The sequence below is a fragment of the Homo sapiens genome, chromosome 19 (assembly GCF_000001405.40).
Source record: "Homo sapiens chromosome 19, GRCh38.p14 Primary Assembly".
Taxonomy (NCBI): Eukaryota; Metazoa; Chordata; class Mammalia; order Primates; family Hominidae; genus Homo; species Homo sapiens.
In genome coordinates, this window is record NC_000019.10 from 1084995 (window position 1) to 1099829 (window position 14835).

At 59.1% G+C, this 14835-nt stretch overlaps 2 protein-coding genes across 16 annotated transcripts in view, besides 6 other annotated features; one reads left to right on the forward strand and one right to left on the reverse strand.

Annotated features, from left to right (window-relative positions):
* The window catches only part of ARHGAP45 (Rho GTPase activating protein 45), a 20670-nt gene extending 19036 nt beyond the window's left edge, over nt 1–1634 (forward strand). For all 11 annotated transcript variants that reach the window (XM_047438547.1, XM_047438546.1, XM_047438548.1 and 8 more), the window contains one exon: nt 666–1634. In XM_047438547.1, the coding sequence (XP_047294503.1) occupies nt 666–1012 (347 nt within the window). In that variant the 3' untranslated portion in view covers nt 1013–1634. The remainder of the gene's footprint in view (nt 1–665) is intronic.
* Nucleotides 896–1395: an enhancer, noted in NCBI's record as "H3K4me1 hESC enhancer chr19:1085889-1086388 (GRCh37/hg19 assembly coordinates)". NCBI's record gives its function as "activates a minimal SCP1, AML or CMV promoter by ChIP-STARR-seq in naive H9 embryonic stem cells {active_cell/tissue: H9 hESC(naive)}" and the evidence as "EXISTENCE:reporter gene assay evidence [ECO:0000049][PMID:30033119]".
* Nucleotides 1580–10381, reverse strand: POLR2E (RNA polymerase II, I and III subunit E). 5 transcript variants are annotated; one of them, NM_001316324.2, is made up of 8 exons: nt 10265–10381; nt 8762–8909; nt 6798–6913; nt 5914–5994; nt 5093–5151; nt 4890–4968; nt 4478–4557; nt 1580–3726 (listed from the first exon to the last, which is right to left on the reverse strand). In NM_001316324.2, exons 3-7 carry the CDS (start codon nt 6864–6866, stop codon nt 4492–4494), a joined length of 354 nt encoding a protein of 117 aa, NP_001303253.1. In that variant the 5' UTR covers nt 6867–6913; nt 8762–8909; nt 10265–10381; the 3' UTR covers nt 1580–3726; nt 4478–4491. The 5 variants fall into 5 exon arrangements, with proteins under 5 accessions (NP_001303253.1, NP_002686.3, XP_011526372.1 ...); NM_002695.5 differs by lacking the exon at nt 8762–8909 and adding an exon at nt 8910–9084; XM_011528070.4 differs by lacking the exon at nt 8762–8909 and adding an exon at nt 8910–9084 and having other exon boundaries at nt 4890–4971.
* Nucleotides 3962–4061: an enhancer, noted in NCBI's record as "active region_13582". NCBI's record gives its function as "activates an Ori minimal core promoter by ATAC-STARR-seq in GM12878 lymphoblastoid cells {active_cell/tissue: GM12878}" and the evidence as "EXISTENCE:reporter gene assay evidence [ECO:0000049][PMID:35858748]".
* Nucleotides 9032–9567: an enhancer, noted in NCBI's record as "H3K4me1 hESC enhancer chr19:1094025-1094560 (GRCh37/hg19 assembly coordinates)". NCBI's record gives its function as "activates a minimal SCP1, AML or CMV promoter by ChIP-STARR-seq in naive H9 embryonic stem cells {active_cell/tissue: H9 hESC(naive)}" and the evidence as "EXISTENCE:reporter gene assay evidence [ECO:0000049][PMID:30033119]".
* Nucleotides 10325–10414: an enhancer, noted in NCBI's record as "active region_13583". NCBI's record gives its function as "activates an Ori minimal core promoter by ATAC-STARR-seq in GM12878 lymphoblastoid cells {active_cell/tissue: GM12878}" and the evidence as "EXISTENCE:reporter gene assay evidence [ECO:0000049][PMID:35858748]".
* Nucleotides 14405–14524: an enhancer, noted in NCBI's record as "active region_13584". NCBI's record gives its function as "activates an Ori minimal core promoter by ATAC-STARR-seq in GM12878 lymphoblastoid cells {active_cell/tissue: GM12878}" and the evidence as "EXISTENCE:reporter gene assay evidence [ECO:0000049][PMID:35858748]".
* Nucleotides 14645–14724: an enhancer, noted in NCBI's record as "active region_13585". NCBI's record gives its function as "activates an Ori minimal core promoter by ATAC-STARR-seq in GM12878 lymphoblastoid cells {active_cell/tissue: GM12878}" and the evidence as "EXISTENCE:reporter gene assay evidence [ECO:0000049][PMID:35858748]".

Here is a 14835-nt window from a genome sequence, read left to right on the forward strand (position 1 = left end):
TCACTTGAACCGGGGAGGCAGAGGTTGCACTGAGCCAAGATCATGGCACTGCACTCCAGCCCGGGCAAGAGAGAGAGACTCTGTCTCAAAAAGAAATACCTGAGACTGGGCAATTTACAAAAGAAAGAGGTTTAATGGAGTTACAGTTCCATGTAGCTGGGGAGGCCTCACAATCATGGCAGAAAGCAAAGAGGAGCAAGTCACATCTTGCATGGATGGTGGCAGGCAAAGGGAGAGCTTGTGTCCGGAAACTCCAGTTTTTAGACCATCAGATCTTGTGAAACCCACGTACTATCATGAGAACAGCCCAGGAAAGACGCACCTCCAGGATTCAACCATCCTCCACCAGCTCCCTCCCACAACACGTGGGAATTATGGGAGCTACAAGATGAGGTTTGGGTGGGGACACAGAGCCAGACCCTATCAACACCTCTCTCCTTCCGTTTCTCCCCTTGTCTCTCTCTCCTCCTCCCCGCCATGTCTCTCCATCTGTCTGTCCCTCCCCTTGTCTCTCCTCCATCTCTCCTGTCTCTCCCCATCTCTCCTGTCTCTCCATCTCTCTCCCCCCTCTCCTGTCTCTCCCCATCTCTCCTGTCTGTCCCTCCCCTTGTCTCTCCTCCATCTCTCCTGTCTGTCTCCCCCCGCCATCTGTCTCCCTTTCTTAGAATCCCGAGTTGTGTCCAACGATTCGGACTCGGACCTAGAGGAGGCCTCCGAGCTGCTGTCCTCATCGGAGGCCAGTGCCCTGGGCCACCTCAGCTTCCTGGAGCAGCAGCAGAGCGAGGCCAGCCTAGAGGTGGCTTCTGGCAGCCACAGCGGCAGTGAGGAGCAGCTGGAGGCCACAGCCCGGGAGGACGGGGACGGGGACGAGGACGGCCCGGCCCAGCAGCTCTCAGGATTCAACACCAACCAGTCCAACAACGTGCTGCAGGCCCCACTGCCCCCCATGAGGCTCCGTGGCGGGCGGATGACACTGGGCTCCTGCAGGGAAAGGCAGCCGGAATTCGTGTGAGCTGGGGTGGGGCTGGGACCACAGGTGGCTTCTCTCTTGCCTGCTCCTGTCCCTCCAGCACGTCCCCTGCACCACGGCATAGCTTAGGTGCGCCGTCCTGGGGTCGCTGCCGAGAGCGCCTGGACTTCGACGTCCCACCAGCGGGCGCCTCCTCCCAGAGGCTTCCAGGAGCACGAGGGCCTTGCGGCACAGGACTGTGCCCTGTGCTGTCCCCTGCACCCCGGCTCAGCTGAGCTGGGGAACACTGCTGTCGTGTGAAGTCACAGTGGCCTTGTTGGTGCCCACAGGGCTGTGTGGATGGAGGAAGCTGTCCCTGCCCAGTGCATCCCCCAGGTCATCACGGGGACGCAGGAGGCAGGCCCTGCCCTGCCCTCTCCTCACAGGTCTGTTGCAGGGACTCCAGAAACCATTCTGGGAGCCGTGGATGGGGGCGGAGCTGGGGTTTGGTGCAGTTTCCAGGGTGCAGTACAGCAGGGCCTGAATACTGGCCCTGGACTCCCTTTTCCAGAACACCAGGTGTGGCCACCTGGGGCTCAGGTACACAGTGGGGTCTCTCGGAAGCCACCGTGTGGTTCTTTCACAGGCACGTTTATTTTGCTGAAATAAAAAGTTTTTAATCGGGTGTTTTCTGTGGCAGCTGCAAGCTTAGAAGATTTTCTGTGGCAGCTGCAAGCTTAGAAGAAGGGGCCAGGGAGGGGACAGAGAGAGCCCCGTGGCGTGGCCCTGGGCCTCCCCCTAGGGGAGGGATGTGTGAGGAAGGGAACCCCCCGCCACGGGGCCCCGCGAGGTGGGAGCCCGGGTGGTCTTCACCACAGGCTGTGCAGACGGTCAGGCATCGAATGACCTCGTCACGTCCACCTGCAGCCCAGGGCAGTCCAGGAAAACGTTCTCGATGACGGACGTATCCCCCGGCTCTAAGGTTTCGCACGTCAGCCCCACATGGCCACCAAGCACTGGAAACGTGGCCCATGCGCCTGTGGAACTGCATTTTTTTTTTTTTTTGAGACAGGGTGTGACCCTGTGGCCCAGGCTGGAGTACAGGAGCACAATCGTAGCTCACTGCAGCCTCGGCCTCCTGGGCTCAAATGATCCTCCCGCCTCAGCCTCCCAAAGTGTTGGGATTACAGGTGTGAGCCACTGTGCCCAGGTAATCTTAAAGTTTTTTGTAGAGGTGGGGGGTTTCTCTGTGTTGCCCGGGCTGGTCTTTTAACTCCTGAGCTCAAGCGATCCTCCACTTCCTGGGTTCAAGTGATTCTCCTGCCTTAGCTCCCAAGTAGCTGGGATTACAGGCATGCACCACCACGCCCAGGTAATTTTTGTATTTTTTGCAGTGATGGGATTTTGCCATGTTGGTCAGGCTGGTCTCGAACTCCCGACCTCAGGTGATCCGCCCACCTCGGCCTCCCAAAGTGCTGGGATTACAGGCGTGAGCCACCGCGCCCGGCCACCTCCAGAATTTTCTCATCTTCCCAAACTAAAACTGTGCACATGACACACTCTGTCCCCTCCCTCCTCCCCAGCCCTGGGAACCCCCATCCCCACCCAACTCCCCAGTCCCGGGAACCCCCATCCTACTTCCAGTCTCTGACGACTCTAGTGACCTCCTAGGAGTGACATCAGTGTTTGTCCCTTTGGGTCTGGCTTGCTTTGGCCAAGACAATTTTGAAAAAAGTACATTTGGAGAGAAGGGGAAGCACTGTCCCCATCACACACACAGTCCGCGGCCTGGGGATCTGGGGACCCTGCTGCACAGAACAGTGGGCGCGTTACAGACCACCGACCGCCCGAGGGTGAATTACATCTTAATAAAGCTACTGTGAGAGAACCACGTGGCTAGGTTAAACTTGGGCAGGCGAGGCCTTCTGAAATCAGACAGTAAGCAAACGGGGAAGTAGAGCCAGATCCCAAACGTCTGTAAGAGGAACTGGCCGCAAACCACAGCTGCACAAGCCAGAGAACAACTCCACACCCTCACGGGAAGGGAAGAGACAGACACGCTCACGCCTTACCCAGGAGCACGAAGTGGGAGGGCAGGGCGAGGGCCTGGGGAGACACTGACCCCTGAAGCCAGCGCGAGGAGGGCACACCTGCCAGGCTGACCTCGTGTGCTTGGGGTGAGGCAAGGCCACCTGCTGGAAACCTTGTTAGTCGGCCTGGTTTCTGTATCAAGCAAATTTATTTGCTCAAAACATCTTTACCATTTGAAAACACCCAACCTCCTACAACAACCGAGAACTCCAGAGCTGGCATCTCGCACCCTGGTGGCTTGAGCGCGTGCATGGCTGTGAATGGAGTAAAGAGCCGAGGCCGGGCGGGGGCCGCCACGCATCAGGGCCCCCGAGGGAGGGAAGACGAGGGGTGGAAGGCCGAGGGCCCAGGAGGAAGCAGTGGCTGGTGGGAGACCCGGACCCCAAACCCCCAACAGAGGGGACCCAGCGTGGTCTGGGTGAAGACCCGGCACCAGCTGCCCCCAGGTGACCTCCCTCTGGGGGCCTTGTTCCTTCTGAGGCTGCATCTCGCACAAATCCACAGGTGAATGGGGCGGGCTGGGCCACAGGAAGCCTCACCCCAGGACGGGAGAACGTGGGTGGAGGCCACCTGCCTTGGGGAGTCCAGAGGAGCAGCAGCCGTGAGAGCTGTGGGGGCCGGATTCTGGCAGGGCAGGGGCGTTTGTCCTGCAGGGATGGGGGTCGCTGTGTGTCCGCCTCTAGGGGCTAGGAAAGGGGGAGAGTGGTCACACGACAGGGGCAGATCCAGTATGCCCAGGACAGCACAACGCCCACCGAACGTGACGGGGTGCGGGAGGCCTGGCAGGAGGCGGCCCAGGCCGCAGTGCAGAGGCCGGACGGCTCCCTTGTGCCCAGCGGTCACACAGGCGTGGGCAGTAGCTCTGACCTCAAAGGAACCGTGCCAGCGTCAGACCAGGCCAAGCCCCACCCCTGGGCTGAGTGTGAAGTGGGGCGGCCTGCAGGACAGCAGCTCGCCATGACCAGAGTCCAGGGGAAGCTGGGAGGCTCTCGCCATGGGCAGAGGCTGTCCCGCTCCTGAGACTCCGGCCAGTCCCTCCCAAGGTGCCCACTCAGGGAAGGGTTGGCCTGAAGCTGTGCCTCCTCTCTCAGCTCTGGGGTCTCTGGGCAGGTTTCTAAACCCTCTTCTGGAAAGTCCCGCCGCACAACTGCCCTGCAGGTGAACGTCTCCTGCTTCTAAGGTGGGTCAGCGGCGGAGAGACGCACGCCCCGCGTACCAGGACTCTCCCGTCCAGGCGCACAGCCCCAAGAGCTGCAGCCTACGGTCGGGTGGGGTCTGGGGGTCTGGGGGTGTCCTGGGAGCGCCTGGTGGCCCAGCTGGGCTGGTGCTAGGAGGGTCTTGCTGCCGGACAAAGCAAGAACAGCCCTGCACACCGACGGAGGGGACGACACCCCTGCCTCTGACCCCACCTCAGTGCCTGTCCCTCGGCCGTCTCACCTGTCAGGCGGTAGCTACTGCACCAGCCGGTAGGTGATGTACCTGCCAGCCGTCTCACTGGGCCGGATGATCTTCACCACCTGCAGAGACAGAGAGCAGGGGCTGCGAATGCTTGAGGGGTCTCACTGCAGTCACCAGACAGCAGGCGGGCAGCACACGGGCTGGGGATGGCCGGCAGGGGTCCGAGATGGCTGACCCTGGGCTGTGGGACCCGCTCCCTGGGAACCTGGGTCACGCTCTTCTCTGGGCCCAGTGGCCCTGGCTTTAAGAGGGGGATATTGGGGGTGTGGTCTCGAGGTCCCCTCCAGGCCCTGGATCAAGGGGGAGGGGCTGTCGGGGAGGGACAGAAGCCCCCTTCTCCGAGTGGTCAGCTCAGAGCAGCCCCAGGGCCCCTTCTCCCCACAGGGCTCACCTGCCCACGCTTTATCCCAAAGTAGCGCGCCACAGGGTCCCCCGCCTGGATCCTGGGCAGCTGGTTCTCTCGGAGCTTACTGCGAAGCACCGTCAGGAAAATGCCAGACAGGGCCGTTGGGGGGGCAGGGGTGTGTGTGGGGGGGGAACGCGGAAGTCTCGAGGGACAGGGAGGGGCGGGGCCGGTGGGGCTGGAAAGGATACTATCGGGCCAGCAGCTCTGTCACCTCCTCCTTGGTCATGACGACGTGCTCAGGGACTAGCTGCCGAGAGAGGAAGCCACCAGGCATCACCAAGGGCTGGTGAGACCCCACGTGGCTCCCAGGTGCCACCACAGCCCCTGCGCCTTCAGACGGACAAGAGCCCTGAACCCCACCCCGATCCCCGGCACTCAGGGAGCCCACCCACCCCACCCTGGCTCCACAGGCGGGGGACGGAGTCACAGCTCCTGGGGCTTCTGAGGCAGACGGGCTGGGCACAGCCACCTCCTGCTGGGACTCCTCCTGTCCCAGCACTAGGGTCCCTCCACACTCCCAGCAGTCCCGATTCTACAGGCTGGGGTGGGCCCGGGATCTGCATTTTTTTTTTTTTTTTTTTTTTTGAGATGGAGTCTTGCTCTGTCTCCCAGGCTGGAGTGCAGTGGCACAATCTCGGCTCCCCGAGTAGCTGGGACTACAGGCGCTCGCCACCACGCCTGGCTAATTTTTTTGTATTTTTAGTAGAGACGGGGTTTCACCGTGTTAGCCAGGATGGTCTGGAACTCCTGACCTCGTGATCCGCCCGCCTCGGCCTCCCAAAGTGCTGGGATTACATGTGTGAGCCACCGCGCCCGGCCGGGATCTGCATTTCTAGGAAGCTCCCGGGTTCGGCTGCTGCAGGCCCAGGGCCACCCTTTGAGAACCCTGTCCTCCATGCACTAATAGGAACACCTGCCCTGGGCCCCAGATCCCACATCTTCCTGGCCACCCACAAACGCTGCATCTCTGCCGGCCCCACGCAGGCGGGATTCCGCGGCGCGCGCCCACCTCGTGCTCCGTGATGTTGATGAGCAGCTCCTGCTGCAGAAACTGCTCCAGGATGTACTTGGGGGCCATGTCGACCAGGGACTGGAAGAGAGCGGCTCTAAGGCACGGCCCGGAGGGGCCCAGACAACCCCAACCCCATTTCCTGCCTCAAGCTACCTGGGGCTTACTCGTGTGCCCCAACAACACACCCACGTCGTGAATCAGAAAACCCCACCGCCAGCCCAGGAGCCTTCAACAGCCCGCCCCTCCCCAGCCTCTCTGCTCATCGAGAGCCTCATCCAGCAGTGAAGTGGCCGTGGAAACTCGGATGTGTTTCCATCCATCACACGCTTCCAGGGGCGGCCCTCAGAGCTGGCAGGGCGACCTCTTCCCCATACAGGGGTGCTGCTCTGTGTGGCTGCGTGAACCCCACAGCTGGTGGGCCAGGGACTAAACTGCTCTGCTGACTGCCCGTCACAGCACAGCAGCCTGGCTCCAGAGTGTCCGACAGACAGACGGGGAACACGGATAGGCCCCTGGAGGACCCCGTGCCGGGCCTCCTCTGCAAGTCCCCCTGGACATCAGCTCAGGATAAAGAACCTCCGGCTCCTGGAATCTGCACCAGGCCGAGGGCTGGAGCCCACAGGAGCTGGCGAGAGGCACAGTGCCCTCCGCCCTGACGCCCCTCCTGAGAGCTGGGGGAGGACGGCGGCTGCCTGGGGTGGGGCCCATGGACGCGGTGGGAGGGAGGCGGTCGGGGCTTGCCGGACATCCCGGCCACATCCTCCAGGGCACCCTGGCTGGCCTGGCCCAAAGCCCAAGGCACGTGGGCCGCCTGTGGGTACTGCTTGCGGGAGGAGGCTGGGGAGGGGGAGAGGCTGGCGGGGTGGGGCAGGGGTGCCCACCTGCTTGGCGGAGGGTGTCATGCCCTGCTGCACCACGATGAGAGCCCGTGTGATGTTCTCCTCCTGCATGCGCTGGCAGTACACCTTGATGGTCTTGATGCCCACCTTGGGCTCCTCTGCAGACAGAGAGTGTGCTGGCCTGCACGAGCCTGGGCCCTCGTGGCCCTCGCCCACCCAGAGCCCAGAGCACCCAGGTTCCAGCCCCATTCCACACAGGTGTCTCTCCTGCTCGGGCCTCGGCTTCCGCGTTTGCAAAACGAGGCCTGAGTTGCAGGATCCCAGGACAGGGGAAGAGAGGGCTGAAACCTCTCATTCACCCGGAGACAGGGACAGGGGGCTGACACCCCTCAGTCACCCAGAGACCAGGGAGAAGCAGAGACCTTCGACTCTGAGAGGCTCCCACCCTGGGCAGTTCTGGGGAGGCGGGTGACTCAGCACCAACCTCTCCAACAAGCAGACCTCACACCCCAGGACGCTCTCTTTAAGAAGCATCACCTGAGGCCGGGTGCGGTGGCTCACACCTGTAATCCTAGCACTTTGGGAGGCTGAGGCAGGTGGATCACTTGAAGTCAACAGTTCTAAACCGGCCTGGCCAACATGGTGAAACCCGGTCTCTATTAACAATACAGGATGGGCGCGGTGGCTCGCACCTGTAATCCCAGCACTTTGGGAGGTCAAGGTGGGCAGATCACGATGTCAGGAGATCGAGACCACCCTGGCTAACAAGGTGAAATCCCGTTTCTACTAAAAATACAAAAAATTAGCCCACGCCCGCAGTCCCAGCTACTCGGGAGGCTGAGGCAGGAGAATGGCGTGAACCCGGGAGGCAGAGCTTGCAGTGGGCAGAGATTGCGCCACTGCACTCCAGCCTGGGCAACAGAGCAAGACTCTGTCTCAAAAAAATTAATTAATTAATTAATAAACAATACAAAAAGAAAAAGTAGCCAGGTGAGATGGTGTATGCCTGTAAACCTAGCTTTTTGGGAGGCTGAGGTGGAAGGATTGTTTGAACCTGGGAGGTGGAGGTTGCAGTGAGCTGAGATTGCGCCACTGCACACTCCAGCCTGGGTGACAGAGGGAGACTCAGTCTCAAAAAAAAAAAAAAAAAAAAAGACTGGGCGCGGTGGCTCACGCCTGTAATCCCAGCACTTTGGGAGGCCGAGGCGGGCGGATCACCTGAGATTAGGAGTTTGAAAGCAGTCTAGCCAACATGGTGAAACCTCATCTCTACTAAAATGCAAAGAAAAACTAGCCAGGCGTGGTGGTGGGTGCCTGTAATCTCAGCTACTCAAGCTGAGGCAGGAGAATCGCTTGAACTCAGGAGGTGGAGGCTGCAGCAAGCCGAGATGGCACCACTGCACTCCAGCCTGGGCGACAGATTGAGACTCTTTTTCAAAAAACAAAAACAAAAAAAAAACAAAAAAACCCAGCAGCGTCACCAGGTCCGGTTGGCAGACGTGCTCCGTCACCCCACTGATTAATTCTGGGCGTGGGGCTGCGCCCCTAAGGCGCTTGCAATCCCCCAACCGCTGAGGGCTTTAGAGCCATACTAGGGAGGCAGACAGGTGCGGAGACTTCCGCAAAGCAGGTGCTGAAACCGAGGGTCCCAGGGGTCCTGGGAAAAGAGGCCCGAGCACAAGCTCGAGGGACGAGTACCGGACGCTGACAGGGGAGAGGGGGCATGGGGTGCGGAGGAATGGGCTGGGGCGGGCAGGGGCCGCAGCTCACAAGGAGGCTGCGCTGACCCAGACGGGGCCTCCTGGGCCAGGCCAAGAAGCTGGAAGTGCACCCAACGGCCAGGATGGGGGAGCCAAGGGACACTAGGGCAAAGGACATGGGGGGCTGGGGGTGAGTGGGGAGGCCCTTGTGACTCTCCTCGTTGGCAGGAAGAGAGAAGGGGACTGAGAGGGAAACTAGAAAGAAGCTGAGCATGAGAGGGGTCAGAGATCAACGGCATCACCCACAGCAAGGAAGGGGAGGGGAGTTTTCCTCCCAGACTGGGCAGAGAGACAAATGCTGGGCACCAGGCGAGTGGGGGTGGGTGCTAGCGACCGGCTCCTCGGCAGGTGCTCTGGTGGCTTCACCGGAACTCCCCCGGGACCCGCTGCTCACCTGGAAAGAACACAAACATCTGGTCGGTGGGGTCATCGTTGTGGGCCACCAGCACGGTGAGGTCCGTGCGCCGCGGCCGCCCCTCACTCGGCTTGTCCCCAGATTGGGCTTTGAACTCCTCCAGGGTCTGGTCAAGCTCGTCCTGGGTCACCAGATAGCCACGGTCGTGGCACAGCTGCAGAGAGAAAGAACCAGCTGACCCCAGGGCAGAGAGAGGAAGGCGGCCAAAGCTCGTGACCCGGAAGTCAGACCTGCGGCTGCTGCAGAGGACAGAGGTGAACAGCAAACGGGATGAACACTCACTGTGTGCTCCATGACAGCCACCCCGGCCCCCACAGCCTCACACCACAGGATGGGACCAGTATGATCCTGAGAGGCTCCCAGAGATGTCCAGCCTTGACCAAGACCGTCTGTCCACCCAGCCTCACAGAAACCTGGCAGGGAGCAAAGCCCTCCAAACCACTTTGCAGAGCTACCCTAAAGGCAGGGACAAAGGCGGGGCGCGGAGGCTCACGCCCGTGATCCCAGTACTTAGGGAGGCTGAGGCAGGAGGGTTGCTGGAGGCCAGTTCAAGGATGCAGTGAGCTATGATTGCACCACTGCACTGCAGCCTGGGCGACAGAATGAAACCCTATCTCTTAAAAAAAAAAAATGACAGGGACCGAAACAGATGTGACTTCAGGCTGACAATGTTTGAGGATCGGAGAAAGAAGAATCAGGCTGCGGGGGGCTTCGCTGAGGACAAGGGCAAAGGGTGGGAAGCAAGACAAAGCAAAAGCTCTCAAACGGCCCCAATGGCTGAGGCAATACCCTGAACCGCAGGTCCTCAGGCCTGTGCCCGGCTTCCAAACCGGACTCGACCCAGTGGCCTCCATCTGCCCCAGACCCCAAGGCACGGGTTCCGAGCTCCACGTCCCCATCGAAAGCCCCAGCTCGCCCGCTGCTTCCCAACCACCAACTCTGCCAGCCTCGGATGCTGAAGACTCCATGGGGTTCAGGACGCAAGGACAAATAGCGACGCTGAATCACAGAGAAGGGCAGAGTCTGGGGGCGCCCCCCGTCCCCATTCGCGGCTTCCTCCTCCTCTCGCCGCCACGCGCGCCGCACCAGCCCAAGCCGCCCACCCACCCCTAAGCACCGCACCCAGACGTCTCGAAACCCCCTCCCTTCCCCGCTGCCGGCTCAGGTCGGGTCCAGCGCCTGGTATCCCCGGCGACCTCTGGGCCTCCCGTATCGGCCCGGCCCTTCATCGCTGCTGCTCCGACGAGAGTACGAGGAGACGCCGTGCTCGACCCCACCTCGGGCCCCTACACCCGCCGCCCGCGCCCCCGCCCCCAACACCAGGCGCGGCTCACCTGCATGATGGTCTTGCGGATTTTCCAGAGCCGGTACGTCTCCTCCTCGTCGTCCATGGCAGCCTCCGCCGCCGCCGCCGCTCGCACCCCTTCTCCGCGCGAGAACCCGCGCGGACTGCGCCTGCGCCGAATCCGAATCAGGCCCCCTCCGCCTAACCCCGCCCCGCGCTGGTCTGTCGTCGGCGAATGCCTGAATGCAGCAACGTCTCGGATCGGCAGCGCCAAGGGCAGCCCGAGCCTTACGAGAGCGGCAGTTGGCTGAGCGAGTCTCTCGCCTCCGTAGTTCTCGTGTGTCTTTGGCCGCACAGCCTCTCGGGAGTTGTAGTTTCCGTTCAACTCCCACCTTGGAGCAACAGTTTAGAATCCCACGAGGCGGGGGCGAAGTGTGAGCGGGGAAACTGAGGCCTGGATGGGGTCAAGGGGCAGCTCGGCTCCTAGGGATGGTCTGGGAGCCTAGTGGGAACTCTATAAATATTTGTGCATCAAACTGTACAGGGTTTCCTCCATTGGCTCCTGGCCAGGTCAGGGTTAATTCCCTTGGGCCTCAGTTTCCCTACCTGTGCAATGGCAATAAAGTGTCCCTACTTTAGACGGTTAACTGAGAGTCTTAGGCATCTCTCTAGGTGCTTATTAAGTCCCCTCACCTCTGTCCTCTCCCCTGAGCGCCACCAGCCTAGCCTGGGTATCTCCCCAGCCTAGCCTGGGTATCTCCCCACCCCAGACTCTTCCTGTCTTTGCAAACCTCCTCACTTCCCCAGGTTCACGGAGAACCCCAGCCCAACACTTCCTGTGTGCAGGCTATCAGTAACTTATTCAGTGATGCATTCGTTAATTCAACATTTACTCAGCAACCTACAGTGATGGTGAATAAAACAGGCCAAGTATCCCTTGCATTCAGATAAAGACAGGATTTAGTAAAATATAATAAATAACGTGGCCGGGCGCGGTGGCTCATGCCTATAATCCCAGCACTTTGGGAGGCTGAGGCGGGCAGAGCATGAGATCAGGAGTTCAAGACCATCCTGGCTAACACGGTGAAACCCCGTCTCTACTAAAAATACAAAAAATTAGCTGGGCCAGGTGGCAGGTGCCTGTAGTCTCAGCTACTTAGGAGGCTAAGGCAGGAGAATCTCGTGAACCTGTAAGGTGGAGGTTTCAGTGAGCCAAGATCGTGCCACTGCACTCCAGCCTGGACAACAGAGCAAGACTCTGTCTCAAAAATAAAATGAAATGAAATAAAATAAAATAAATAACAACGTTAGAAAGTGACAAAGCTACGGAAGAAGAAAGAGCAGGGAGGCTAAGTGACATGGGGAGAATGGGAGAACTGCAGTATCACATGGGGAGGTCAGGGAATACAGTGAGGATAGATTCAAGCAAAAATCCCATTAGCAGTGGTGGCTCATCACTGTAATCCCAGCACTTTGGGTGGCCGAGGCAGGCAGAGCATGAGATCAGGAGTTCCAGACCAGCTTGGCCAACATGGTGAAACCCTGTCTCTACTAAAAATACAAAAATTAGCCAGGTTTGGTGGTGGGTGCCTGTACTCCCAGTTACTCGGGAGGCTGAGGCAGGAGAATCACTTGAACCCGGGAGGCGGAGGTTGCAGTGAGCCGAGATCGCACCACTGCACTCCAGCCTGGGTGACAGAGCAAGACTCCATCGAGAAAAAAAAAAAAAAATCCCATTGGGCGCGATAGCTCACACCTGTAATCCCAGCACTTTGGGAAGCTGAGAGGGGAGGATCCCTTTGTTGTAGTTTTGTAATTTTTAGTTGTAAGTCACGGACTTTTTTACACTGATATTTGAGATTCTTTTTGGGGGGCTGTCAGGGGCTACTTTTTTTTTTTTTCCTGACACGGAATCTCGCTCTGTCCCCCAGGCTGGAGTGCAGTGGCAGGATCTCGGCTCACTGCAAGCTCCACCTCCCGGGTTCACGCCATTCTTCTGCCTCAGCCTCCCGAGTAGCTGGGACTACAGGCACCTGCCACCACGCCCGGCTAATTTTTTGTATTTTTAGTAGAGACGGGGTTTCACCGTGTTAGCCAGGATGGTCTCCATCTCCTGCCCTCATGATCCGCCCGCCTCGGCCTCCCAAAGTGCTGGGATTACAGGTGTGAGCCACCCCGCCCGGTCTGTGCAGGCTTTCTTATCTAACTACCTAACTTTTCTTTCTCACCTTGAGGCCAGGAGTTTGAGACAAGCCTAGGCAACATAGGAAGACCCCATTTCTTTTTTGTTGTTGTTGTTGTTTTTTGAGACCGAGTCTCGCTCTGTTGCCCAGGCTGGAGTACAGTGGCATAATCTCAGCTCACTGCAGCCTCCGCCTCCTGGGTTTAAAGGATTCTCCTGCCTTGGCCTCCCGAGTAGCTGGGATTACAGGCGTGAGCCACCACACCTGGCTAATTTTTTTGTATTTTTGGTAGAGATGGGGTTTCACCATGTTAGCCAGGCTGGTCTTGAACTTCTGACCTCAGATCATCTGCTTGCCTCGGCCTTCCGAAGTGCTGAGATTACAGGCGTGAGCCACCGCACCCGGCCAGGAAGACCCCATTTCTACAAAAAAATTTAAAAATTAGCTGGGCGTGGTGGGCGCACCTGTAGTCCCAGTTACTCGGGAGGCTGAGGTGGGAAGATCTAGGATCGCCTGAGCCCAGCGGTTGAGGCTGCAGTGAGCTGTGATTGCGCCACTGCACTCTAGCCTGGGCGACAGAGCAAGACACTGTCTCCAAACAAACAGAAAACAAACAAAAACCAGAAGAGGAGAGGGAGGAAACCTGGGGTTGCCTGGGGATAGCTGTATCAGGCAGACAGCACAGCCAGGATAGAGGCTCTGGGGCTGTGCCTCACCTGGAGTGTTCCTGGCAGGGAAGGGGCAGGAGGGGGTCAGAGGGCAAGGTGGGGCAGGTCCCATGAAGCCTTGCTGGTCAGGGTAAAATGTCTGGAGCTGCTGTGTTGGGAAATGACTGTTGGGAGCCAGGGCAGAAGCAAGAGACCAGGGAGGGAGTGGGAAGGCAAACTTGCCACAGGTTGGGGTGGCTCCAACTACGGTAGGGGCAAGCACAGAGCGGGGAGGGTGCCACAGGGCGAGAAAAAGAGGGAGAAAGGGAACAAAGCTGTCCCTGTGAGCAGTGAAAAGAGGGGTGGGAGGGTGGAGGCGTGTAGGTCGAGGTGAGCTCTGGAGTTCAGGGCAAGGTCTGGGGGATGGACGTGCAGGCAGGGTGGCCACGTGGTGAAGATTAGAGCCGGGAGCCTGGACCAGGTCCTGGGAGCAGAGCAGAGTCCAGGAGAGTAAGTCCAGCCCTGCTGGTGTTCAGAAGCCCGGAGAAGGAGGGGAGGCAGCAGCAGGAGGGGAGGGAGGCTCAGCACAGACACTGGAGCAGCCCCTGAGCTGCAGACCTGGCTGTGTGATCTCAGGCAGGTTACTCAACCTCTCTGTGCGTCCCCTCTCCCCTCCCTTGTAAAACAGGGACAAGAACAGCACCCACTTCGTAGGGTAATTGGCTAATAATTGCAATGTACACAGAGTGGCGCCTGACACCAGCACTGCATAAGTGTTCCCTAAATAGGATAAAGGGCAGGAGGTTGCCAGGTCTCCTGGAAACCTGGTGAGGAAGGTGTCTAGGGGCAGAGGGAAGGGAGTGGCTATGTGATGCCACCGCCAAGTCAGCCTGAGGACTGAGCAGGGATTCGCCTAGCAGACATTGCTTGTGACTCAGGGAAGGGGGCCAGTGCCTGGCAGGACGGATTTGAGGGAGGAGAGGAATTGGAGATGTGGGGCAGATACATGGGGCGGGGAGGGTCAGGAGACGGACAGGCCTCAGGAGTGGATTTTATGACACAAGAAAGGGCATCTGGAGTAAAGACCAAGCAGTGACCTGCAAATCTGGGGGCAGGGGTGGACTGAGAGGCTGAGCCCAAGCCAGGGGCGGCCTGGATGATAACAGCAAAGCCAGAGGCCCGGAAGTCAGGCCATGATCCACACACAGGGCAGGTGAAAATGTAAGATGGTGCAGCCGCTATAGAAAGCAGTCTGGTCGGCCAGGCGCAGTGGCTCACGCCTGTAATCCAAGCGCTCTGGGAGGCTGAGGCAGGCGGATCAACTGAGGTCAGGGGTTCGAGACCAGCCTGGCCAACATAGTGAAACCCCGTCTCTACTGAAAATACCAAAATTAGCCGAGCATGGTGGTGCAGGCCTGTAATCCCAGCTACTTGGGAGGCCGAGGGAGGAGAATCGCTTGAACCTGGGAGGTGGAGGTTGCAGTGAGCCGAGATCGTGCCACTGCACTCCAGCTTGGGCAAAAAGAGTGAAACTCCATCTCAAAAAAAAAAAAACAACAAACAGTCTGGTGGATCCTCAAACTGTTACACAAAGAGTCACCATATGACTCAGCAATTCCACTCCTAGGCATACACCCAAGAGAAATGAAAACATACGCCCACACAAACACTTGTACGGCTTTACAAACTCAAAAAGAGAAAACAGCCCATAGCCGGGCATGGTGGCGCATGCCTGTAATCTCAGCTATTCAGGAGGCTGAGAAAGGAGAATTGCTTGAACCTGGGAGGCG

Bases quoted from the DNA above. Each gene is read 5' to 3' on its own strand.
- POLR2E (XM_011528070.4), bottom strand. From the start codon at position 10,321: ATGGACGACGAGGAGGAGACGTACCGGCTCTGGAAAATCCGCAAGACC. The intron at 9,085-10,264 runs GTGAGCCGCGCC...TTCTCTCTGCAG, and splicing joins TCCGCAAGACCATCATGCAG to CTGTGCCACGACCGTGGCTA. The intron at 4,558-4,889 runs GTGAGCCCTGTG...CTGTCTCTGCAG, and splicing joins TTGGGATAAAGCGTGGGCAG to GTGGTGAAGATCATCCGGCC.